The sequence below is a fragment of the Homo sapiens genome, chromosome 12 (assembly GCF_000001405.40).
Source record: "Homo sapiens chromosome 12, GRCh38.p14 Primary Assembly".
NCBI classification, from domain to species: domain Eukaryota; kingdom Metazoa; phylum Chordata; class Mammalia; order Primates; family Hominidae; genus Homo; species Homo sapiens.
The window spans coordinates 25,037,896-25,064,928 of NC_000012.12; the positions used below are offsets into that span (position 1 = coordinate 25,037,896).

Here is a 27,033-nt window from a genome sequence, read left to right on the forward strand (position 1 = left end):
AGCTTTTTAGATTGCCTCTGTCATTTGTCCGTGTTTAACATTGGAGTACTGGGGTTTGTTTTGTGACTTTTCTTGTAGGAATTCAACAATATCATGGAAGAGAAGCTAGATCTTTGCATATTAATGCTGAACATCTTGGGAAACCACAAAGAGTCTCTTGATAAAGAATTTGCCAAATTAATAGAGATTTTGAAGAGATTCAGGCAGGAATATTTTTATTTCAGAAAAGAATTTCTTGCCAGGTGATGATCATTTATATATAAGAAATCCATGCTTTATATACATGACATGTTTATGATCATGCCACTGCATTCAGTTTACTTTCTGCAAGTTGTATACATTGATTTCAGATGATACTTTTTTCAGAGAAGATATTCTGTTTGATAATTCTGAATTGTAAAATAGTATGAAATTGACTTACATGTTCAAAATTGCAAATGACGAACTATAAAATCTGTGGAAACCAGCCAAGCGCGGTGGCTCACGCCTGTAATCCCAGCACTTTGGGAGGCTAAGGTGGGCGAATCACCTGAGGTCAGGAGTTTGAGACCAACCTGGCCAACATGGTGAAACCCTGTCTCTACTAAAAATACAAAAATTAGCTGGGTGTGGTGGTAATGCCTGTAATCCCAGCTACTTGGGAGGCTGATGCAGGAGAATTGCTTGAACCCGGGAGGCAGAGATTCAGTGAGCTGAGATTGCACTACTGCACTCCAGCCTGGGTGACAGAGTGAGACTCCATTTCAAAAAAAAAAAAAAAATCTGTGGAAACCAGTATACTGAGTTATTTTTTCCCTAGAGAAGGAATTTGGAATTACAAAATATAATCTTTTACCAGAAGAAGCCTTAGAGAGCCTCTAGTAACCTCATAATTTTTCAGAGGACTAAGGCATGAAGAGATAAAGTGAATTGACTAAGACCTGAGAGTTACTAATGGAAGCTCTAGAACTTGAAGCCAGGTCTGTTGGCTCCTCCCCACTGGGTTTTATGTTTGACCTCAGTGTATCATGTTGGGCACTGGGCAACTAAATGTCAGTTAAATGGAGTCATAGGGAATAGATGGTAACAAATATAAAATAACTTACCCTCTTATCCTTTCTCTACCCTCAATTCTTATGATAATGGGGAAATTCTTGAAATTTTTACACCCTGGAAACCATAAGCACAGTGATTATATCTTTTGTTAACTACCATTTATATAGCTGCTAGGACCATACTTAGCACTTACTTAAGAAATGCTTTTTGAGCAAATGAGCAAATGAACACAGGTATATATTTCACTTGAACAAAATTTTAAAATGTAATTAGAGACTGAGGTAAGCTTGAAGCAAATAGCCAGAAGAAACTATTTTATTCCCCCCAAATATAAGGAAACTAGATACCAGAGAGAGAATACCAGAGGAACTCTCAAGAAAATGATCTTCTGCTTTCCCTAAGAAGCAGAGAACCCACACTTCCCCATAGTGGTAAAAGATGGGGGCTAAGTGGACACGCAGCTTCCTTACACAGATACCGTCTCCACAAAAGGCAGCGTCAACATTCTTCTTTTTTTTGAGACGAAGTCTCGCTCTGTCACCCAGGCTGGAGTGCAGTGGCGTGATCTCTGCTCACTGCAAGCTCTGCCTCCCGGGTTCAGGCCATTCTCCTGCCTCAGCCTCCCGAGTAGCTGGGACTACAGGCGCCCGCCACCACGCCCAGCTAATTTTTTGTATTTTTAGTAGAGACGGGGTTTCACCATGTTAACCAGGATGGTCTCGATCTCCTGACCTCGTGATCCGCCCCCCTCGGCCTCCCAAAGTGCTGGGATTACAGGCGTGAGCCACCACACCCGGCAACATTCTTCTATTTAGCAACAAAGAACTATTTGGAGAGAGGTCTGCACTAATGTCATCTCGAAATGAGTGAATCTTCTGTATTGTCCTACTTAGACATACAAGCAGCCCGGTTAAATAACAGTAGGTGTCATTTGTCTAGAGGCTACTGTGTCAGATGTAGTGCTAAGAATCTGACATATATTTATATCCAGAGAGGTTGCATAATTTGCCCAAGGTTACCCAGCTGGGATTAAGTGACAGCTGGGATTCAGACCTAGTTCTGTCTGACTTCAGAACCTGTGTCCTTTCGATGGTTGATCTCCCACCATCGACTTGTTAAATCTGATACAAGATTCTTTAAAAATATTCTGGGAACCTGGCATTGGGCAAAATACTCCTTATCAGCATAAGATGGTTATAACCTCTGGCTTTTGGACACAATTTAAAACTGACAAAGCCACATAAAGGCTACACACAAAATAATTTGACTGTGGATTTTAGCTATGAATAAGTAAATAGCTGGGTGCCCCGGCTCATGCCTGTAATCCCAGCACTTTGGGAAGCCAAGACAGGAGGATAGTTTGAGCCTGGGAGTTCAGACCTGCCTGGGCAACATAGCGAGACCCTGTCTCTAAAAAAAATTTTAAATGAGCTGGGCATGGTGATGCATGCCTGTAGTCTCAGCTACTTGGGAGGTTGAGGTGGAAGGATTGAGCCCAGGAGTTTGAGGCTACAGTGAGCTATAATTGTGCCAGTGCACTCTAGCAGCCTGTGAGACAGAGCAAGACACTGCCTCTTAAAAAAAAAGAGAGAGAGAGAGAGAAAAGAAAAGAAAAAGAAAATAAATGGAGTATTTTGTGAGGATGAGAGAGAATTCTGTTTAGATGAGGTAGGAAATGTTTATTAAAGGTAAATTTTTAGGGGCTATTTACTGAGGAAGAGAAGGTTCCCATTCTGCTGTGGGACAAATAGGCTCTAATGCTGAAGAATGGAAATAATTGAGTGGGCCAAAGAGAGGCATGGACAGGAAAGTTCTCTCAGAAGCCTTGGTGAGGAAACAAGTCTTGATTCGTACGACATCCGTCAGGATGTCCGCTCTTTGCCTGGCTTCCACCCCTTCCCCAACCCCAGATGATAAGCAATTATAGGAAATAAGACAGAAATCTCTGCCTCTATGAAACTAACATCTAGTAAAGGATGCAAATAACAAACAAATAAACATATAATGTCAGAGAGTGTTATAAAGAAAATTAAATCAGGATAAGAAGACAGAGAATGACTGGGAGCATTTTAGAGAGAATAGCCAGGAAAGTCCTGCCTGAGGAGTGATGAATTGAGTAGAGAGCTGAGTGGGGCGAGGGAGTGAGCTATGTGATGATCCGGGTGTGTTCCAGGCAGAGCAAGGAGCCGGTGCCAGGAGCCTGAGGTTGTAGTGAGCTTGTTGTTTTTGAGCAGCAGCAAGAAGCCGCCATGGCTGGGGCAGGGTGGGGGGTAAGCAGTGGTAGGATGTGGGGCCAGAAGGATAGACAGGGGCCAGGCCACACACAGCCTTTGCAGTCCATGTTTAGGAGTTGGGATTTCATTGAGTATGGTGAGAAGCCATCAGAGGGTTAGGAGCAGAGAAAAAATGTGATTTGTGTTTTGTTTTTGTTTGTTTTTATCTTTTTCTTCTTTCTTTGTGATTTGTGTTTTGAAAGATCTGCTGGATGAAGAATTATTTATAGAGGGCAAAAGTGAAAGCAGTGAGATGAGTAAGGAGAGTTTTCTTTTCTTTTGTTTTCTTTTTTTTCAAGACAGAGTCTCACTTCATCACCCAGACTGGAGAGCAGTGGCACGATTTCAGCTCACTGGAACCTCCACCTCCCGGGTTCAACCTCCACCTCCCGAGTTCAAGTGATTCTCTTGCCTCAGACTCCCAAGTAGCTGTATGCCGCTATGCTCCGCTAAGTTTTGTTTTTTTTTGTTTTTTTTTTTTTCAGTAGAGATGGGGTTTTGCTGTGTTGGCCAGGCTGGTCTCAAACTCCTGGTCTCAAGTGATCTGCCCACCTAGGCCTCCCAAAGTGCTGGGATTACAGGTATGAGCCACAGCACCAAGCCAGAGAAGAGGTTTTCAACAACAGATAACCATTTAGATATTCTGATATCAACTTACTGGTTTGTGACCCATTTAAAAAAAAGACATAAAATAATAGAGTGCATTACATATAGTAAGAATAAGCAGTGCTGAATTGAATTTTTGTTTCAGCTGTGTGTGTGTGTGTGTGTGTGTGTGTGTGTGTGTGTATGTGTATGTGTGTTTGTTTGTATACTGAGTTGAAATATAAAATATTTCATGATTAAAAAGTTATAGACTTAGGAACTATTGCTGCAGTCCAGGTGAGGGATGTAGTGTGGGTCAGGGTAATAGTCATGGAAGTGATAAGAAATTATTAAATTTGAAGTGTATTTTTGAGGGTGGATCTGATCAAACATGCTGGCAAGTTATATGTGTGGAGAAAGAGAGGAGTCATCCTTGACTTAGAGGCTTTTGATCTGAAAACCAGGTAAATGGTGTGCTATTTAGACAGCAAAGTCTGAGAAAGATGCAGACTGGAATAGAAATCAAGATTTATCATTCGAACATGTTGGCAGGGAGAATTGTTGGATTTAAACACAAACACAAGCTAATATATACCTCTTTACATGATGATAAAATTTCTGTGGGAGAAAAATCTTCAAAGGTTTATCATCTGTTGAATATCTTTAACAGATGGTACCATCTAATTTTTTTTTTATGAGACAGAGTCTCGCTCTGTCGCCAGGGTGGAGTGCAGTGGTGCTATCTTGGCTCACTGCAGCCTCTGCCTCCCAGGTTCAAGTGATTCTCCTGCTTCAGCCTCCTGAGTAGCTGGGACTACAGGCACGTGCCACCATGCCCAGCTAATTTTTTGTACTTGTAGTGGAGATGGGGTTTCACCATGTTGGCCAGGATGGTCTCGATCTCTTGACCTCGTGATCCACCTGCCTCGGCCTCCCAAAGTGCTGGGATTATAGGCATGAACCACCGCGCCTGGCCCCCATCTAGTATTTTTAAAAAGCTATTTCTAAGACTTATGATTCATAAAGTTCATAAAACACGTTGTTATATTGGTGAAAATACATATAAGTAATTGAAAGTGTGAGTATTAATAAATAAGGATTTATGATGGTCCTTAAAGTCCTTTTGCTTTCTCTTGGAAGATAATGGACACTCTTGAAAATATAGACTATTCCTGTAAGAGAGAAAAGTAGATAAAAGTGATGTCTTTGAAATTAAAAAAAAAAAAAAGAAGAGGAATGATTCCTGCAAGATGGTGGAATAGGAAGCTCTGGACCCTCCTTCTCTCCAGGAGCACATGAATTCAACAACAATACATGAACAAATTCCTATTGTGAAGAACCCAGAAACTAGTTGAGAGGCTCCTGAATCCTGAGTGAGAGTGAATCCAGCTTCATCAAGGCTGGTAGGAAAATCTGAGGAATCCTCACCATAATCCTTATCCCTAGCTTAGCGCCACGCCAATGGAAAGAAACCTCCAGCTCTCAGCTTCTCCCTAGCATGGTGGGGTGGGGAGGAGAATCAAACCACATGTCCAACATTTCAGCTTTCCTGGGGGCTGCCTAAGATACTGGCTTCTGTTTCACTTGTCTTATAGTGCTAATGGGACCTGGCATACTCTAGATGCCTGGATACCACTGAAAACGAAGAAGGTAGTTTGAACTAGCATGCATGCGCTTGCTGGAGCCCCTACTCCCAGCTCAGTGAAAAGCCCTAGGTCTCAGCTTCTTTCCAGGGATGAAAGGATGGAAGAGCTGGATTATGTATCCAATGTTTCAATTTTTCTGGATGCTGCCCAAAGAATTGGCTTCTGTCTTACCTGTCTCGGAGTACTATGAGATGCATCATGCTCTAGATGCCTGGGGGCTGCTAGAAACAAAAATGGTGGTTTGGATTAGTGTGAGTGTTTGAGACCACCCCTGGCCTCCAGAATCTCTTCCTGGATTGATTAAGGGATTTCTCCGGTATGAGACCAGTATGTGAAGACTGGGAGAGTTGGCTATTTTTTCTAATGCATAGTTAAAAAGAGTCAAGGACAATAAAGAAGTAGGAAAATATGTTGCAAACAAAGGAACAAAATAAAGCTCCAGAAACGGACCCTAATGAAACAGGTAAAGAACTTACCTGACAGAGAATCCCATAAAAATGCTCGTGGTCAGAAGAAAATGCCTGTGCAAAGTAAGAATTTTAACAAAAAGAAAATACAAACACAGAACACTGTAACACTGTAATGGTTGTGGTTAAATCACTTTTAATTCTTATATAAAAGTTAAAAGTATTATAAGTAAAAATAACTATAAAAATGTTTATGATACATAACTAAAAATATGTAAATTATGATATCAATAATAAAGTGTTTGAAGGAGAGAGTAATAGAATAGAGTTTTTATATGTGATGGAATTTAGGTTGTTAGCTTAAAATAGACTATTATAAGATGTTTTATGTACGCTCCATGGTAATGCCAAAGAACATACCTATAGAGCAGACACACACACAAAGAAAGGAATCAAAGAATATTAATACAGAGAAGTCAACAAAACTCAAAGGAAGGCAAGCAGAGAGGAAAAGAGGGAAAAAATAACTACAAGACAGACAGAAAAATAATAAAATGGCAGTAGTAAGTCCTTCCCTATCAATAATTACTTCAAATATAAATGGATTAAACTTACCAATCAAAAGACATAGAGGGCTGAACATATTAAATTTTAAAAAGCCCAGATTCAACTATATGCTGTCTCAAGAGTCTCACTTTAGATTTAAGTACATACATAAACTGAAGGTGAAGAGATGAAAAAAGATATTCCAAGCAAATGGTAGCCAAAAGAGAGTATGGGTAACTATATCAGACAAAATAGACTTTAAGTCAAAAACTGTCATAAGAGACAAAGAAGGACATTATATAATAAAAGGATCAACTCACCAAGAAAATACGATATCTACACACCCAACATTAGAGAACCTAAATATATAAAGCAAACACTGACAGAACTGAAGGGGGAAATAGAAGACATAGACAGCAATAAAATAATAAAAGACTGTAGTATTTCATGTTCAATAATGGATAGAACATTTAGACAGAAAATCAATAAGGAAACAGCAGGCTTGAATGGCACTAGAGAGTAAATGGACCTAACACAGAACATTCTGCCCAACTGCAGTAGAATATACATCTTTCTTAAATGCACATAGAACATTCTTCAGGATAGACCACACATTAGGTCACAAAACAAAGAGTAACAAATTTAAGATTATTGAAATCATACTAATTATCTTTTTCCTACCATAATGGAATAAAACTAGAAATGTATAGCAGAAGGAAAACGGAAATATTCACAAATATGTGAGAATTAAACAACAGACTCCTGAACAACAAATAGGTCAATGAAGAAATAAAGAAAATTAGACTTGAGACAAATGAAAACAAAAGCACATACCAAAATCTTTGGGATGTAGAAAAAGCAGTACTCCTAAGAGGGCATTTTATAGTGATAAACACTTATACTAAAAAAGAAAATAAATTTCAGATAAACCTAACTTTTTACACTTCAATGAACTAGAAAAAGAACAACTTAAGCCCAAAGTTCCTTCCCAAGAGAAAGGAAATAATAAAAATTAGAGCAAAAAGTTGTTTAAAATAGAAAAGCAATTAAAAAGCAGCAAAACTAAGAGATGGATTTTTGAAAAGATAAACAAGACAAACAAACCTTTAGCTAGACTGAGAAGAAGACTCAAAATCAGAAATGAAGGAGATATTACAACTAGAACTGCAGAAATACAAAGGATTATAAAAGACTAGTATAAACAATTTTATGCCAACAAATTAGATAACCTAGAAGAAATGGAAAAATTCCCAGAAACATACACCCCATCATATTTCTTTATGAATCATGAAGAAATTGAAAATCTGAAAAGATCTACAACCAGTAAGGAGATTGTCTCAGTAATTAAACACCTCCCAAAAAAGAAAAGCCCAGTATGAGATGGCTTCACTGGTGAATTCTACCAAACATTTAAAGAAGATTAACGCTAATCCTTCTGAAATTCTTTACCAAATAAAAGATAAAAAAAAAAAAAAAAAAAGGAAAGGAAAAGGAAGGTACACTTACAAATTCATTTCATGAGGCCAGCATTATCCTGATACCAAAGCTAGGCCAGTACCCCTGATGATGCAAAATCCTCAAGAAAATATAAGCCAGTCAAATACAAAAGCACATTGAAAGGCTTATACACTATGACCAAGTGGGATTTATTTCTGGGATGCAAGGATGGTTCAATATATGCAAATTGATTATCTTGATATACCACATTAACAGAATGGAGCATAAATATTTTGTGATCATCTCTATAGGTGCAGAAAAAACATTTGATAAAATTTAACAGTATTTTGTGTAAAAACTCTTAAGAAACTAGGAATAGAAGAAAATTATCTCAACATAATAAAAGTAATGTATGAAAAACTCAGTGAACATCACTCAATGGTAAAACACAAAGTTTTTCCTCTAAGATCAGCAACAAAGCAAGGATGCTCACTCTCACCACTTCTGTTCAGTGTAGTACTAGCCAGAGCATTTAGGCAAGAAAAAAAAATAAAAGGCATATAAATATAAAAGGAAGAAGTAAAATGATCTCTGCAGATAACATGATCTTATTTATAGAAAACTCTAATGATTTCACAAAAAAACCTGTTAGAATAAAATTTAGTAAAGTTGCATGACACAAAATCAACATACCATAATAAATTTCGTTTATATATGAGCAACATTGAACCATCTGAAAAAGAAATTAACAATCTCATTTACAATAGCATCAAAAAGAATACTTTGAAATAAATTTAAAGAGGTAAAAAACATATAATAAAAACTACAAAATATTGATGAGAGAAATTAAAGAAGACACAAATAAATGAAAAGGCATCCTACGTTCATAGATTGGAAGAGATCATGTTGTTTAAATGTCCATACTACCCAAAGCAATCTATAGATTCAATGCAATCCCTAACAAAAATTCCAATCGCATTTTTTTACAGGAATAGAAAGAAAATCCTAAAACTTATGGAACCATGAGGGACCCTGAATAGCTGAAAACAATCTTGAGAAGAAAGAACAAAGATGGAGACATTACCGTTCCTGATTTCAAAATATATTACAAAGCTACAGTAATTAAACCAGTATGGTATTAGCATAAAGACAGATATATAGACCAATGAAACAGAAGAGAGAGCCTAGAAATAAACCAATGCATAGATGGTCAATTGATCTTCAACATAGATACTAAGAATATGTAATAGGGAAAGGATAATCTCTTCAACAAATGGTGCAGGGATAACTGGACATCCACAGACAAAAGAATGAAATTGGACTCTTATACCATAAACAAAAATCAATTAAAAATGGATTAAAGATGTAAATTTAAGACCTAAAACTGAAAACACCTAGAAGAAAACATGGGGGAAAGCTTCATAACATTGGTCTTGGCAAGATTTCTTGGATATGACACCAAAAGCACAGGCAACAAAAGCAAAATAGGCATGTTGGACTGCATCAGTCTGAAAAGCTTCTGCACAGCAAAGAATACAATGCAATGAAAAGACAACCTATGGAATGGGAGAAAATATTTGTAAACTAAAAAACTGATAAGGGGTTAATTTTTTGTTGTTTTTTTGTTTTTGTTTTTTCCTTTAACTTTTAAGTTCCAGGGTACATGTGCAGGATGTGCAGGTTTATTGCATAGGTAAATGTGTGCCATAGTGGTTTGCTGCACAGATCAACCCATCACCTGGGTATTAAGCCCAGCATCCATTTGCTATTCTTCCTGATGCTCTCCCTCCTCACCTGCTTGACAGGCTTCCAGTGTGTGGTGTTCCCCGCAATGTGTCCATGTGTTCTCATCATTCAGCTACCACTCATAAGTGAGAACATGTGACGTTTGGTTTTCTGTTCCTGTGTTAGTTTGCTGAGGATAACAGCTTCCAGCTCCATCCATGTCCCTGCAAAGGACGTGACCTTGTTCCTTTTTATGACTGCGTAGTATTCCATGGTGTACATGTATCACATTTTCGTTATCCAGTCTATCACTGATGGGCATTTTGGTTGACTCCATGTCTTTGCTATTATGAATAGTGCTGCAATGAACATACGCTTGCATGTATCTTTATAATAGAATGATTTATATTCCTTGGGTATATACTCAGTAATGGGATTGCTGGGTCAAATGGTATTTCTACCTCTATTTAGATCTTTGAGGAATTACCACACTGCCTTCCACAATGGAGGAACTAATTTATACCCCACCAACAGTATAAAAGCATACCTTTTTCTCTGCAACCTCACCAGCATCTGTTGTTTCTGGGATTTTTAATAATTGCCATTCTGGCTGGCATGAGGTGGTATCTTATTGTGATTTTGCATTTCTCTAATGATCAGTGATGTTGAGCTTTTTTTCATGTTTGTTGGCCATGTGAATGTCTTATTTTGAGAAGTGTCTGTTCCTGTCCTTTGCCCACTTTTTATTTTTTTATTTTTTTGAGACAGTCTCTCTCTGTTGCTCAGGCTGGAGTGCAATGGCGGGGTCTCGATCTCGGCTCACTGCAACCTCCACCTCCCAGGTTCAAGCGATTCCTCTGCCTCAGCCTCCCGAGTAGCTGGGACTACAGGCACACACCACCACACCCAGCTAATTTTTGTATTTTTAGTAGAGATGGGCTTTCACCACGTTGGCCAGGCTGGTCTCAAACTCCTGACCTCAAGCAATCCACCCGCCTCAGCCTCCCAAAGTGCTGGGATTACAGGTGTGAGCCACTGAGCCTGGCTTGACCACTTTGTAATATTTTTTTTCTTGTAAATTTGTTAAAGTTCCTTGCAGACTCTGGATATTAAACCTTTGTCCAATGGATAGATTGCAAAAATGTTCTCCCATTCTCTAGGTTGTCTGTTGACTCTGATGATAGTTTATTTTGCTGTGCAGAAACTCTTTAGTTTAATTAGATCCTACTTGTCAATTTTTGCTTTTGTTGCAATTGCTTCTGGTGCTTTTGTTGTGAAATCTTTGCCTGTGCCTATGTCCTCAATTTTACTGCCTGGATTTTCTTCCAGGGTTTTTATAGTTTTGGGTTTTACACTTAGTCTTTAATCTATATTGAGTTAATTTTTGTATAAGGATTGAGGAAGGGGACCAGTTTCAATTTTCTGCATGTAGCTAGCCAGTTCTCCCAGCACCATTTATTCCCATTGCTTGTTTTTGTCAGGTTTGTCAAAGATCAGATGGTTGCTGGTGTACAGTCCTATTTCTGAGTTCTCTATTCTGTTCCATTGGTCTATGTATCTGTTTTTGTACCAGTACCATGCTATTTGGCTACTGTAGCCTTGTAGTATAGTTTAAAGTCGGGTAGCGTGATGCCTCCAGTTTTGTTCTCTTTTCTTAGGATTGTCTTGGCTATTTGGGTTCTTTTTTGATTCCATATGAATTTTTAAATAGTTTATTCTAATTCTGTGAAGAATGCCAATGGCAGTTTAATGGGAATAGCATTGAATCTATAAATTACTTTGGGCAGTATGGCTATTTTCATGATATTGATTCTTCCTATCCATGAGCATGGAATGTTTTTCCATTTGTTTGTGTCCTCTCTGATTTCCTTAAGCAGTGGTTTGTAGTTCTCCTTGAAGAGGTCCTTCACTTATGGGGTTAATATTTAGAAAATATAAGAAACCCCTACAACTCCAGAACAACAATAAAAAAACACAAATAACTAGATTTAAAAATAGACAAAAGACTTGAATAGGCATTTCTCAAAAGAAGACGATAAATGGTCAAACAGGTGTACAAACATACTCAACATAACTAATCATTAGGAAAATGCAAGTTAAGACTATAATTAGATATTGTATCATACCTGTTAGGATGGCTATTATTTTAAAAGACGGCCGGATGCGGTGGCTCACGCCTGTAATCCCAGCACTTTGGGAGGCTGAGGCGGATCACGAGGTCAGGAGATCGAGACCATCCTGGCTAACAAGGTGAAACCCTGTCTCTACTAAAAATACAAAAAAATTAGCCAGGCATAGTGGCAGGCGCCTGTAGTCCTAGCTACCCGGGAGGCTGAGGCAGGAGAATGGTGGGAACCCGGGAGGCGGAGCTTGCAGTGAGCCAAGATTGTGCCACTGCACTCCAACCTGGGCAACACAGCGAAACTGTGTCTCAAAAAAAAAAAAAAAAAAAAAAAAAAGCTACTCGGGAGGCCGAGGCAGGAGAATGGCGTTAGCTTGGGAGGTGGAGCTTGCAGTGAGCCGAGATTGCGCCACTGCACTCCATCCAGCCTGGGTGACAGAGTGAGACTCCGTCTCAAAAAAACAAAAACAAAAAACAAATAAAAAAAAGTGTTGGTGAGGATGTAGAGATATTGGAGTCCTAGTGCACAGTTGGGGGAATGGAAAGTGGTGCAGGCACTATAGAAAATGTTATGGAGGGCCGGGTGCGGTGGCTCATGCCTGTAATCCCAGCACTTTCGGAGGCCGAGACAGGCGGATCTCGAGGTCAGGAAATCGAGACCATCCTGGCCAACATGGTGAAACCCCGTCTCTACTAAAATACAAAAAATTAGCCGGGCATGGTGGTGCGTGCCTGTAGTCCCAGCTACCCGGGAGGCTGAGGCAGGGGAATCGCTTCAACCCGGGAGCCAAAGGTTGCAGTGAGCTGAGATCGCGCCAGTGCACTCCAGCCTGGAGACAGAGCGAGACTCCGTCTCAAAAAAAACAAACAAACAAACAAACAAAAAAAAACAGTTACAGAGTTTTCTCAAAATATTAAAAATTAAACTACCATCTGATCTAGGAACCCCACTTCTGGGTATTTATCCAAAATAATTAAAATCAGCACCTGGAAGAGCTATTTGCATTCCCATATTCACTGCGGCATTATTCTCAATAGCCAAGATTTGGAAACAACCTGAATGTCCACGGATGATTGGATAAAGAAAATTTGGTATATAAATACAAGGGAATATTATCCAACCTTTAAAAAGAAGGAAATTCTGCCACATATGACAACATAGATAAACCTGGAGGACACTATCCCAAGTAAAATAAGTGAGTCACAGAACAACAAATACTGCACGATCCCACTTCTCTGAGGTATCTAAAATAGTTAAACTAATAGAAAGAGAGAGAATAGTGGTTGCCAGGAGCTAGGGGAGGGGAAATGAGGAGTTGCTACTCAATAGGTATAAAGTTTCAGTTATGCAAGATGAAGATGTTCTAGAGATCTGCTGTACAACATTATGCCTGTAGTTAATAATACTGTATTGTACACTTAAAAATTTGTTAAGTGGGTAAATCTCCTGTTAAATGTTCCTGCCACAGTTAAAGAAAAAGAGAGAAAAAGAGAGTGAGAGAGACAACGATAAGCTATTGAAGGACGCTCAGTGGAAAGTGTGGTGATGTAGGCAGTTTTTATTTTTGCTTAGGATTTTGTTTGCTTGTTTACCAGTATGGTAAGCATTCTGTGAGACCATTCTTGCCTCTCATGTGGTCCTTCGTGTAACCAGGGCTGGATTTGTGCCAGTGTGCAGTGGCATTCTGACTAAATGTTAACGTTTGAGAGGCATGCACAAGGCCTACGGCTGACAATGTCTTCCTTGCTGTTTTGCAACTCCCGACATTTATCACCACTTTGAGTTAAGGTCCATATTCAAGTCAGATTGTTTCCAGATAATCATTGAGGTACTGGCATGTAACACACATTAAATAATCTCATCTGCTAACAGAGAGTAAGTGCATTTTTACATGTTTTAGAGATTAGAATTGGATCCAAATGAGGTGTAACGTAATGGCACCATGAGATCTGTGGTGGGGAAGGGTGATGGGGAGAAAAGCTTCAGCAAAAAGAGGACTAAAGTAGAAATATCAACCGCCAGCTTTCATCTGTGCCTGGGGGCGGTCCTTCCTGTGCTCGTGGCACGTGTTTATACTATGATTGACAACCCTTAAGGAGAAAGGCTAAGGTCATGAAACAAAGCTCTCTTTCCTTTTCTTTTCCCTCCCCCTACCTTTACCCCATTCCTTTCTTTTTCTGTAAAAGCTAGCTGTGATGTGTAAATGTTGCACCTGTCACCCTGACCTCATTGTAGAGCCATCTTCTGAGTAACTGGCAACTGGCAACTGATGCTAAGTGCTATGAATGCAGCTGGTGGGAACTGAACACACCAGTGTAAAAGATGAAACTAGAAGTCCTTATCTGTAAAGTGAGGGTGTCAGGCTAAGCGACCAATAAGCTTTGCTTAAGATTTTATATTTGTGAAGCATTTATATGTAAATACTTTCACTTTTTCCTCTGATCTCTAAGGAAGTGGTGTTAAGTTTGAGTTTGTCATAATTTCACAGGGTGACTCTTAGTTGAAATGTCACTGACAGCTTGCGGTTTGGACTTTTTTTTTTTTTTTTTTTTTTAACTCCAGTCAGAAACAACTAGAAGCCATTAAACAACTACAGGAAGATGCTGTCAACCAGGAAGGCATCCTTAGGAAGAGGCTCCAAGAAACCAGCCAACGGCTGGAGGATGTGGAGGAGCAGGTAGGGTGGCTCATGGCTACATTAGATTCAGGGGACATCTCCTCAGATGCCCTGCAAACCATGAAATAAAAATGGAGGAGGAACAACAACAACAAACAAAAAAAAAAAGCAAAGAGGAACTGCAAGTTCAGTCCCTAGCGACTAACAGTGAGCAGAGGAAGTAAAGGGGGAGTTGTAAGAGAGGCGGTATCAACAGCCTGCTGATGAAAGAGGCGACTCTGCAGAAAGAGGCAACTTGACATATCAGGACTTTAACCGCTGTAGAAATAGCTCAGGCATACCAAGCCCATGCAAACACAGAATTGCAGAAGTTCAGGAGAGGCTTATCACTTCCCTGAGAAGAAAAACACATTTTCAGTTTTGCCTGCATCATAAGAGTGAGCACTCCATTGCTTTCTTTCCTGGCCACACTGCTACAATCCAGCACTAACTATCCATGTCCAGGGTAAGGATCGAGATCGAGAAGCCCACACTGCCAGTGAAAAAGCTACGTCTTTACTGCATAAATTAGAGGAAGCAATTTCGGAACAACGGAACCTTCAAACTATAAATACTGAATTATCGAACACTTGCCAGGCACTTCAGCAGAAGACAAGGAAACTGAAGAGTGAGTAGCAAATATTCATTTATGACCCAGTTTTTGTCCACCCTCAGGCGGGGCATAGGACTACAGACATTTTTCTAGATTACAGCTAGGATATTATTCCTGAGTTTATGACAATGAAATGGTTTGAGAAGGCAATATTGTGGGGCTTTCAGAGAGGTTTGCTGAGTGGCTAGGTGCATGCATGGGTTTAACCATTAACTTCCCTTTTTGCCTTTTTATTATAAGCTGGTTTTGTCTGTGGCTGTTTTTTTCTTTTAAAATTAATTAAAACTTCTCAAAATTTCTAAAAGTAAACAAGGAGAAAAATCTAGTATGCATGGTATATTTGAACTTGCAAGTTGTTATATATTATACTCTGATTTTATTAGCTAGTTTTTTTCCTCTCATATGGTAGAAAAGGCCTTGCTCGTCTATTTTCTTTGGAAATTTTAGGGGGTTGGGCAAAATAATTATGAATTCAGTGTATATCAAAATATCAAATGTGTGAAAATTCTTTTAAAGTTTTAATGCATTCTCTACATACATCTACATACATATTTTGCATTTTAAAAATTGGAATATTTGTCATTTTTCTGTATTACCCAAAAGTATATAAACAGTTACCAGAGATTTATGTGAGAAGACAGTTGTCACATTACAGATGTCAGATTAGCTATAAAATTGTTTCATTCTAGAAACCTAATATGGTAAAAATAAACCTTACTTATTTAGCCATTTATCAGACAATTGCTTTTGTTCAGCCAGTTTCTTGTTCTAGCAGTATAAATATTCTTTTTATAGAAAGTTACTTGGTTTGAGAAATAAACATTGTTTATTTGTTAATTGTTATATAATTATAAATAATTATATATTTAATATATAAGCTTAAGGTAGGCTAGAGATGAAAAATTTCAGACTTGTGTTTGTTTTGGATTTATTGTACCCTTTCTACTATTATCTGAGAAAGCTATTTAGGAGTTTAAGAAATAGTCTAGTTTTAAAATAGCAATGGTTTGCCGGACACAGTGGCTCACCCCTGTAATCCCAGCATTTTGGGAGGCCGAGGTGGGCAGATTGCTTGAGCCCAGGAGTTTGAGACCAGCCTGGACAACATGGTGAAACCCTGTCTCTACAAAAATTACAAACAAATAAATAAATAAAACATTAAAATAGCAGTGGTTATTCAACATATTATTGTCATAATTTTTAAACCTTTATTGAATTTGCCAGTTTTCAATATTCTGATTCACTCTGTTAAGCTAGTAAGGCAGTCTTTAAATTACACAGTCTGTGTGTTATTTTACTACTGCTCAGAGGGCATTGGAGAAGGTTCCCTTGTGATTAGAACTGTTCATGTTGAGACATGAATCATAAGGCATTCCAAAGTTGGTTTAAGGTGTGTCTGCTTTAGACACTGTGCCCAGGACTATTCTTTTGCTCCAGTTTTGCCTTTTGATTAAATCAATATTATACCTGAGTTTTATAAACTACTAAGAATTTGTTCCCCTTCCTCACTGTGATTTTCTTGCAGTATTTTCTTAGAAGAGTCAACTTTAATAACTTACCCCAAAGTGCACGTTCTTGATATTATGAACTTGCTATTGTTGTCTTCCCAGTTTATCTTCACGGCCCAATAGATTCAAATACACTTAAAAGCAGAATATGAAAGCTGCCCTGGGTTGATACGTGTATTTTTTTCTGCCTGGATAACGTAGAGTGGACACTTCCTTTCTGTCTTGAGTTATGCATAACCTGTCCAGATTTATGAAATCCCTTACTTGTTACTTGTATCTTTTGCTGCCCAAAAAACCCATACAAATCAGGATTTTGCTTATATGACCATGTACTTACGATCTTTCTAACAATGCCCTTTAAATTCAATCTTTGAGAGAAGAGGGAAATTTAGATAGCACGTATTTTCAAAATGTTCTATATAGCAGATGTTCCAGATAGACTGCAAACAAATGTCAATGACTGCAGTTATCACACAAACACGTCCACGCACATCCCGCCATGACCACTGCCACCCCATGCTGTTTGATTTCTGAGTCAGACATCTGATTCTGAGTCAGAAAACAAAACATATTTATATCTATTTAGCTTTTCTGAAACTCTCTGGCTAGTTTAATAAATTCACAAAGTATTTCAGACAATTGTTTTCTGATCCATCTAAGTTGCATCAGCACATTGTGTGGGGATGCAGCTGGTTTGTCCAAATGTTCAGATCAATGTGCATAATGTTCACACTACAACTGGAAATTTATATGTGATGTTTGATCAGAAATCCTGAACTTTATCTTGAATAAATGATATTGTTCAAGTTTTCAATTGCCTTCAGGACTGGGCTGATTTATGAGGCAATTCATGTGCATGATATTCTTCAAGAAATGTGCCATGAAAACTGTTCAATTGCTTGAATGGTTACTTATATATTTTATTTCTTCTGCATCTAAACTTTGTTTATATCCAAGTATCTTGTTAATAGACACATGACTGGATTATAATTAGTGTTTGCTTTAAAAAGGAAATTTTTTTTATTATACTTATGTTCTAGGGTACATGTGTACAACGTGCAGGTTTGTTATATATGTATACATGTACCATGTTGGTGTGCTGCACCCATTAACTCGTCATTTACATTAGGTATTTCTCCTAATGCTACACCTCTCCTATCCCCACCCCATGACAGGCCCCAGTGTGTGATGTTCCCCGTCCTGTGTCCAAGTGTTCTCATTGTTCAATTCCCACCTGTGAGTGAGAATATGCAGAGTTTGGTTTTCTGTCCTTGCGATAGTTTGCTCAGAATGATGGTTTCCAGCTTCATCCATGTCGCTACAAAGGACATGAACTCATCTAAAAAGGAAATTTTTAAAAGCTTATAGGATGTGTATATAACATATTAGGGTGAATCTTATGTACAGAAATCATGGACTAATTGATACAATCCAAAACTATCACCCCCTTACTATTCACCATCTCTTGTTCCCATCTGACGTGAAATCTTCATGGAGTCAGTCTTCTCATAGACAATGAGAGAATTACCTTTAAGAATCACAAATTTTTCCTTGAAAAGAGATCCTGGGAAACTCTGATATAGCATAATTTCTTATTTGAACGTAGTATCTGCACATGAACTTCCTAGTTTAGAGGAGACTTTCACCTAGATAATATCACTGCAAACACTCTTTTAGCTTGCTATTCTTAGCATGGAGGGCGGGAGGTATGGCAGAGGTAAAACCCTTAGGGCTTGGAGCATGGATTCAAGATGAAAGCCGTGTCCTAAGCAGTCAGTAAACAGGAGGGAAATGAGCCAAAGAAGGCGGGTGAAGGGATCCAGGTGATTGAGATACTTAAAGATAGAAGGTTTTGGGGTGACGGCCAAGGAGAAAACCAAAGCCAAATACAGCTTGCTCAACAACTCTGATAGGATAGGGACCCAAGTTTTCCCAAATGAAAAATGCAGATATGGAGAAGTAATCTGGGAAGTATAGTATAATGATTAAGAACATGGGATTTGAAATTAACAAACCTGTGTTCTCACTCAAAGTCCACAGAAGAGTGGCTGGGTAAAGTTGAGCAAATCACATTGCCTCTCTGAGCTTCAGTATCCTCTTTGGTTAAATGCAGTTGTTGTGAATTACATAAATAACATAATAAATGCAAAATAGTAGCTAATGCTTGGCCACAGTTGATATTTGTGTTCTGCTAGAATACGTTTCTATAACATGAATCATCTCATTTGTGATTTGTAAATGGGGAAATGCTGTGGTTATATAGTATAGAAATTATGTTGTTTCATTCACGATTTTCTTGGCACTTGGATCTGGATTGGTAGGAATAGAACTCTCACCTTCCTCAGGAAAGGAAAAAGTCCTTAGCTTGGCTGCTGAACAGGCAACAGGAACCCTTTCAGCTTTATTTTGAGAAAATTAAAATAAGTGTCTGCACCTGGGCCTCCCTCCCCAGAGTCACTCTGGGTTCTACAGGGCTCTGGACTTTATAGGGCTCTACCCCAGCCTTGTAGAGCCCTGGTCTGTGTCCAATCATACTCCCTCCTGTGTTCACCTTGTTAGCCTCGCTGCCTCTATCTACATTTGCCTTTCACCCCACCACCACTGTTCTAGTGAAAGCATCACCAGCATTTCCACTCTCTTGTTTTTGTGTATTTCTAATATCCTGTGAGGCATTTAAAGTTGCATGTCTGAGTGATGCATGTGATCTTCTTAGTACTAATAATAAGTGTGTTTGTTAGTACTCTGGTTACAGTGTTGCACATACATACAGATAGGTAGGTAGGTAGGTAGACAGGTAGACAGATTTTTTTTTTTTTTTTTTTTTTTTGAGACAGGATCTCATTCTGTCACCCAGGCTGGACTATGGTGGTGGGATCATGGCTCACTGTAGCCTCAACCTCCTGGGCTCAAGTGATCCTCCTGCCTCAGCCTCCTGAGTAGCTAGGACTATAGGCGAGCACCACTATGCCTGGCTAATTTTTAAATTTTTTGTAGAGGTAGGATCTTGCAGTGTTGCCTAGGCTGGTCTCAAACTCCTGGGCTCAAGCAATCCTCCTGCCTCAGCCTCCCAAAGTTTTGGGATTACAGGCATGAGCCACTCTGCCCAGCTGCATGTATTTTTTTAGTGGTTTCTTCTTAACCCTATTTCTCTCATAATCCCTGCATTATTTTGTTCTTATACTTTTAACTTCTTTTTTATTAATGTATTTAACATGTCATAAAATGTTCAGATCTCGAGTATACTATTCAACCAGGTAGATAAATACACATCAAAACACGGAATTTCTATCACCCCAGAAACTTCCCTTGTGCAACTTCCCAGTCAATGCCCCGCCTCCACCTCTAGCACCCTAAGGAACAACCACTGGTCTGATAGGTTAGCTTAGCCTGTTCTAGAACTCAGTTACACAGTATGTACTTTTTTGTGTGTTTGTCTTTTTTCTGTCAGCATGATGGGATTATGTTGTGTTTCTTAGTAGTAGTTTTTTATTATTGAGTTGTATTTCCTTGTATGAATATTCCAAAATTTGATTGTTTTTCCTGCTGTTATTGGATATCTGCAGTATATGCAGTTTGGGGTTACGACGGACAAAGCTGCTATGAACGTCTGTGTACAAGTCTTTGTGTGCACATATGTTTTTATTTCACCTAGAATAAATATCTAGGAGTAGAACTGTTAGGACATAGCATAGCTGTGACTGTCACTTTTTAAGAAACTGTCAAATGGTTTTCGGTAGTTTTTATAGCATTTCACGCTCCCACCAGCAGTGTGGGTGGTTTTAGTGTTCCACATCTTCAGTATTTGGTAGTGTTAATCTTTGTCATTTTAGCCACTCTACTAAATGGGTATTTCATTGTGATTTTAATATATATTTTTCAGATGTAATGATGTTGGGACCTTTTTCTTGTGCTGATTGGCCATTGTATATCTTCTTTGTGAAGTGTCTAAGTCTTTCACCCATTTTAAAATTAAGTTTTCTGTCCTTTTATTCTTGGATATAAGTCCTTTGACAGATATGTGCTATGAATAGTTGATCTTAGTCTGGGGTTCTTTAATGAACCCTGATATTTTTAATATACAATTTTACAGAACATGAGGTTTTTTCCAGTATAGATAGTATTATACAAGCCCCGTACTCTATAAATGTCATCCATCATTGATAGCTAACATGATAACGGCTCTAATAATGTTATAATTTTCATTTTCAACAGGCAATTAATTGTGGGGCCTTTGCCTGAGACCTCATTGCTTAGTCATTTAGAAAGTTGCTTTATCTCAACTTTCTTCAGAGGCAATGTATCCAAGACACCTGGTCCCATCCTACATGGCAGATGGCAACAGCAGGGGATACAGTAGCCATTGTTTTACTTCCTTCTATATGAAGCATATATTTGTTCTAGAGGCATTACAGGTCCAACTCCAAACATGTAAAGCAGAATGCAAAGGTGAATGCAAATTGTGGTCATAAGCCAACTTGTTTTGCCATGTGGAAAATATGGAAATAGTTGCTATGCATTGCACAAAACATCTGTTGAAATAAGGCTTTCAATTTGAATGCTTCAAGATAGACTGTTTCTAAAACCCAAGATTGCCTGGTGAGCAAGCAGATGGGCAATTTAGACAATCTTATACTAGCTCATCATCGCTTCTGAAACACGGCTTCATTGGCAATTGTAAGATAGTATTCTGAATTTGTATTTTGGAGATACACGACCTTCAGAAACACACGATGGCCACTTCTTATTGCTTTGGTTGCTATTGTTTAGATGTAGATCAGAAGGAGCACAGGGCCTTCCTTCTTAATACAGTTAAGACAGAATTTTTTAAAAATTTCATCTTTACCAGGGTCCTAAGTATTAATAAGAAATAAATTTTAAATTACTTTTGTAGGTTAGAAATACTTATTTTTTTTTCCCCTGAGACAGAGTCTTGCTCTGTCACCCAGAGCTGGAGTGCAATGGCTTGATCTCGGCTCACTGCAACCTCCGCCTCCCGGGTTCAAGCAATTCTCCTGCCTCAGCCTCCTGAGTAGGTGGGACTACAGGTGTGTGCTACCATGCCTGGCTAATTTTTTTGTATTTTTAGTAGAGACAAGGTTTCACCATGTTGTTCAGGCTGGTCTCGAACTCCCGACCTCAGGTGACCCATCTGCCTCGGTCTCCCAAAATGCTGGGATTACAGGCATGAGCCACCGCACCCAGCCTAGAAATACTCTTTTAAAAATATGCTTTTCTTCCTATGTGAGGGAGATGTTTGAAAAACAAACATCTGTTTTGCTCCTAGTGGGCCTAGTAACACTATGTCAAGCTTGATTGAGAAGTAAGTTATTTTTACCAAAAAAAAGTCCTATAAAATAAAAAATTTACATAGGTAATTTTCTACATAATTGAAGCTTTTAGAGCCTTTTTCCTGAAAAAAATTAAAAATTAGATTATGTACTTCTTTTCATTAGCATTATGCTCATGACTCAGAATTTCTCCAGGCTATTAAGATATAAAACTGTTGGTTTATAAAATAAGAAGCACCAGATTTCTATGTATTTTGGATGCCAGAGTATCTGCTGTTAATAATTTTCCTGGCTGTTAGTGATTTTAAAAAAAAGTGGTAGCTATTAATATGCTTCCATCTAGCAGAGCTCCTTATATCCTTGTTTAAGTTTTGCTTTTAATCTTCTTTGGGCTGAGAAGGCAGTCAAACTGGTGAAAATTATGTATATACCCAGAGCCCACTGCTTGAGTTGAAGTGTGAGGTTTGCCACGTGAATAAAGGGCATAAATATCAGTATCTATTCTAGTTGTTCAAAAGATTTGGGTTTATTTTCTGGTTTTGGCTATGTTTCAGAGAGTAGGATTTGTCAAATAAATAATATGTTATTATGTACATCAAAGAGCTAGTTAAATATTAGGTACTTTTCCCCCATTTCCATTATTCCAGGCATAAGACCTTTAGAGATTTTACTTAAGCAGAAAAACAAATATTTTTAGTTTCACAGAATGATACCCTGAGTTAAGCTCTGTTCCATGAGTCTAATCTCAGCTCCATGATTTACCAGTTACCTTTTCAATCGTCTGCACATCAGTGTTCTCATGATCTGAGATCTACTTGTAGGATTCTGGGATCCTAGGGCTGTAATTTGAGGGCTCAAGCAGAGGCTTATTGGAGATAGGATTTCTTTATCAGTAGGAGGTCAGACTGAATGACCTCTAAAATGTATTTTCTTTTTTTTTTTTTTTTTTTTTTGAGAGGGAGTCTCGCCCTGGAGTGCAGTGGCATGATCTTGGCTCACTGCAACCTTCACCTCCCAGGTTCAAGTGATTCTCCTGCCTCAGCCTCCCAAGTAGCTAGGATTACAGGCATGCGCCACCACACCCAGCTAATTTTTGTATTTTTTTTTTTTAGTAGAGATGGGGTTTTGTCCTGTTGGCCAGGCTAGTCCCAAAGTACTGGCCTAAAATGATCCACCCACCTTGGTCTCTCAAAGAGCTGAAATTAGAGGTGTGAGCCACTGCACCAGGCCTAAGATGTATTCTTAGCTTAAGATTAGACAATTCTGTGACTCACTTCTAGAAGACAATTCACATGTATCTATCAAAGTAAAATTTAAATACCCAAGGGAGATAATGGCTTATCTGTTCTAGCCTGGTTTTCCATTTTTCCCGAGTCATAAGTTGAGAGTGCCATTCTCAGAAATCATTATTTTCCCTTTCCTTTTCTTGAGGCCCCAAATTTAAAGCCATTAAAAGTTTTTGAAGCAATGAAATGAATTAAAGGAGACAAGGTTAAATATGCTCATACTGGGCATAGTGGCTCATGCCTGTAATCCCAGCACTGTGGGAGGCCGGGGTGGGTGGATCACCTGAACTCAGGAGTTTGAGACCAGTCTAGACAACATGGTGAAACCCATCTCTACAAAAAATACCAAAACTAGCTGAGTGTGGGTGGCATGTGCCTGTAATTCCAGCTACTTGGGAGGTTGAAACAGGAGGATGGCTTCAGCCCAGGAGGCAGAGTTTGCAGTGAGGTGAGATCATGCCACTGCACTCCAATCTGGGCAATAGAACCAAATCCTGTCTTGAAATAAATTCATTAATTAATTAAATTAAAATGGTCATATTGAGCTGGTTATAAATTCTCTTTGTAGCAACAATTGAGTCACTTCAAAAGGAGTTCATTGAAGGGGAACACCATGGCTTGCTGTTTCAGGTAAAATATCTCTGATATGTGTTCAGTTACTGTGGAGGAAGTTGTTCAATTCATGTAAGGTTTTGAAGCTAATTTATAACAGACAATGACTTTAATCATTAAATTAAATAACCAGTTTAGAAGAAAATGTTTTGGTGGACTTTGTTCTCTTCTGCACTTAAAGTATTTAGCAAAATAAGAAAGGAGATCTTACATTAGTGAGTGGCTACTGATAATATCTTCTAGAGAGGAAGCATTTCAGAATTTTCTTTGCCCCACCACTATATCTATTAGCGAACAGCCAGTTTTTCAGTCTTGGGGACCTCCTTTCTGATAGTAAGGGCATATCATTCAATTTATAATATGCTGAAATTTTGAGTATTCTTGAATAGGCTTTGATGGTTACTGTCTCTTTTTTCTTTCTCATATTTGAATTAAACTTTCTATTTCTTTCTGTATGGGTCATCTCAAGATATCCCTGGTAAAGTGTATTTCCTTCCCTTGTGATACTTGGTGAATCTCCTTTTTGTTCAGAAATGAAGAACATAAGGGAACAGCAAGGCAGCAAGGTTGGCACTGGAGGAAGATGATGGAGGAGGAAAGAAAGAAGGGTGATATTTGCATGTATCTGTTTCTAGGGCATCATGCAGACACATCTGTTAAAGCAGGAAAAAAAAAACCATGTGGAAGATTAAGCTAGGCAGAGTGCCTGAAAAGCCCTCTGCAATAAGTTGAGCTGGAAAAACCTCCATATCTAAAGATGCTTTAATCATCTCAAGAACACCAACAACATTTTCTATTATAATATAACTATGATAGATGTGAATCTACCTCTTGGATTAAGGCAATAATTTTATAGCTATCAAATTTTCACAGACACCATTTTCACTACTCTGAGTTGCATCTCTAACAAGCTTCTTTAGCCTCTGCCTACAGATTTCAGTGACAAAGCCATTCAGTTTCTTGTTCCCGATCTTCAGATTTCATTCCTAGATCAAGTAATGGGGCAAATACAATGGGAGGTTTAAAATTACAAATGTGTTCCCTTGGAGTAGAATACAAAAAGAACTTGTCAATTTCACCCACTTTGGGTAGTGTCATATCTTCTATTAAGTCTAATGTGTTTGGGATCTTTGACTCTTTCATCATTCTGTCTTTGAATACACTCTACCATTTTCTCTTGACAGAGCTTTTTAGATGAGGAATTTCCTCACTATGATTCCCTGTCCTGCGCAGATGCAATTCAACAACCTCTTCAAGAAAAATTGGTAATTGCGAGCTTTTTGAAATTATTTAGGTAGTAATTGTGAATCAACAACTATCCTGTAATAGAAAGCTAAATCCAGTATGTATCAGTAGTCTTAGAACTGCATATATTGCTTTTATCAAGAGATTATCAAGTGAGGCAACAGATACGTGTTTTTGTAAATGTACACATACACACACACAAACCTAGTTGGTCCTTTGTCGCCCAGGCTGGAGTGCAGTGGTGCAATCTCAGCTCACTGCAACCTCCGCCTCCTGGGTTCAAGAGATTCTCCTGCCTCAGCCTCCGGAGTAGCTGGGATTACAGTCATACACCACCACGCCCGGCTAATTTTTGTATTTTTAGTAGAGATGGGGTTTCCCCATGTTGGCCAGGCTGGTGACCTGAAGTGATCCACCTACCTTGGCCTCCCAAAGTGCTGGGATTACAGGCATGAACCACCGCACCCGGCCTGTTTTACTTTTTTTAATTGCAGTATCACGAAGAATTATGTAACTAAGTTTATTCCTCACCTATACCTCTTTCCTCAAAGCCTTTGTTTACATCAAAGTGTCAATTATTTGGAGTTGATGATGTTAGCATTCTCCTAGATTACTAAATTGTGACTTTTAAATAAGAATCATAAGTTACTCATATGTATACCTTTTGATCAAACACTTGAAAGCTTTTTTACTTGACAGAATTTATTTTCTTCTTGATCTCTCTCACAGGGTCACTTGAGACTAGTGATATTCTTTCCACCTTTGAAATGGAGGTAGTAGATTATGAAATATATGTTACATTCCTTTAGATGGCTAATACTACTTGGTTTTCTGTTCAGAAGCAGTGTTGCCACAAACTATATGGTGGTCAAGAAGCAAGAATACATCAGACACCCCTGACCTTGAAACATACGTGCTGGTACACACCTCTGCTGGGTAAGCCCCCCTTCTATACCTGCTCAGACACAAGTAGGGGTAGAGTTCTATTTGAAAGGGAAAATAACTAGTTATTATTACATTTGTATAGGAAGAATTGTTGAATACGTGTATATTTACCCCTGAATTCAGTCAATCAATATATATTTGAGTACCTGCTCTGTGCAAGGCAACATATTATGCATGATAAAGAATAAGTCCTGGCCAGGCACGGGGGCTCATGCCTATAATCCCAGCACCTTGGGAGGCCACAGCAGGTGGGTTGCTTGAGCCCAGGAATTCGAGACCAGCCCGGGCAACATCTCTAAAACAAACAAACAAAAAAGAATAAGTCCTAAAGTAGCTCACAGACTAGCAAGGAGACAAGACCTGGACTCAGAGAAGTCAAAGATGATTCCATGGAAGAGGTTAGAGTTGAACTGGCCTTGAAAGATTAGTTGGCTTTGGAAAAGCAAAAAACATCAAAAAAGTATTCTAATGGGTGAGAGTAACATGAGCAAACAAAACAAAAAAAATAAGAAGAGAAGTAAGAATCAAAAGCCTTAAGTGTTTGAAAAAGAGCCAAAGGTAGGCAAGTCATTTTGAAAATGAAAGGTTTTGGGTTGAGATACAGTAGAAGAGACATTTGGAGAAGGAAAATTGGGTTGTGGGTCAAATTTATACTCAATGCCAAGAGAAAGAGCTTTATTCCAAGAAGTGGTCAAAGTAGTGACACCTCTCAGGATAACATGGATGCAGTTAAAAGCTAAAATTAACGTCTAGTTCTGAAATGACAAAAAGAAATGATTATCAAAGTAAATTTAAGAAGGAATAAAGAGAAAAAGTAGAGTGATTTGTGGATCATTTAAATTTGAGAAGGAAAAACTACTAATACTAATGGAGTGTCTATTTTGTGTCAGGCAGTATAAATTAGTGCTTTTTAGAGATTACTTGCAATAACTCAGTAACAATAACCACCACCAACAGTGGGAGTACTTAAACAGTGCTTGCTGGCCAGGTGCAGTGGCTCAAGCCTGTAATTCCTGCACTTTGGGAGGCCGAGGTGGGCGGATTGCTTGAGGTCAGGAGTTGGAGACCAGCCTGGCCAATATGGTGAAACCTCGTCTCTACTA

At 38.6% G+C, this 27,033-nt stretch overlaps 1 protein-coding gene across 19 annotated transcripts in view, besides 2 other annotated features; it reads left to right on the forward strand.

Annotated features, from left to right (window-relative positions):
- The window catches only part of IRAG2 (inositol 1,4,5-triphosphate receptor associated 2), a 110,761-nt gene that overhangs the window by 40,321 nt on the left and 43,407 nt on the right, over positions 1-27,033 (forward strand). For 6 of the 19 annotated variants that reach the window (NR_159368.2, NR_159369.2, NM_001366547.2 and 3 more), the window contains exons 1-4: positions 14,811-15,061; positions 23,697-23,758; positions 24,925-25,005; positions 25,825-25,921. Coding sequence is in view for 1 of the 19 variants with exons in the window: in NM_001394803.1 (NP_001381732.1) it covers positions 79-242; positions 14,340-14,454; positions 14,899-15,061; positions 23,697-23,758; positions 24,925-25,005; positions 25,825-25,921 (682 nt within the window). In the remaining 18 variants the exon portion in view is untranslated. Of the gene's footprint in view, positions 1-78; positions 243-14,332; positions 14,455-14,810; positions 15,062-23,696; positions 23,759-24,924; positions 25,006-25,824; positions 25,922-27,033 lie in introns of those variants that run through there. The other 13 variants (NR_159367.2, NR_159366.2, NM_006152.4 and 10 more) reach the window with 7 other exon arrangements.
- Positions 14,166-14,275: an enhancer, noted in NCBI's record as "active region_6113". NCBI's record gives its function as "activates an Ori minimal core promoter by ATAC-STARR-seq in GM12878 lymphoblastoid cells {active_cell/tissue: GM12878}" and the evidence as "EXISTENCE:reporter gene assay evidence [ECO:0000049][PMID:35858748]".
- Positions 14,316-14,685: an enhancer, noted in NCBI's record as "active region_6114". NCBI's record gives its function as "activates an Ori minimal core promoter by ATAC-STARR-seq in GM12878 lymphoblastoid cells {active_cell/tissue: GM12878}" and the evidence as "EXISTENCE:reporter gene assay evidence [ECO:0000049][PMID:35858748]".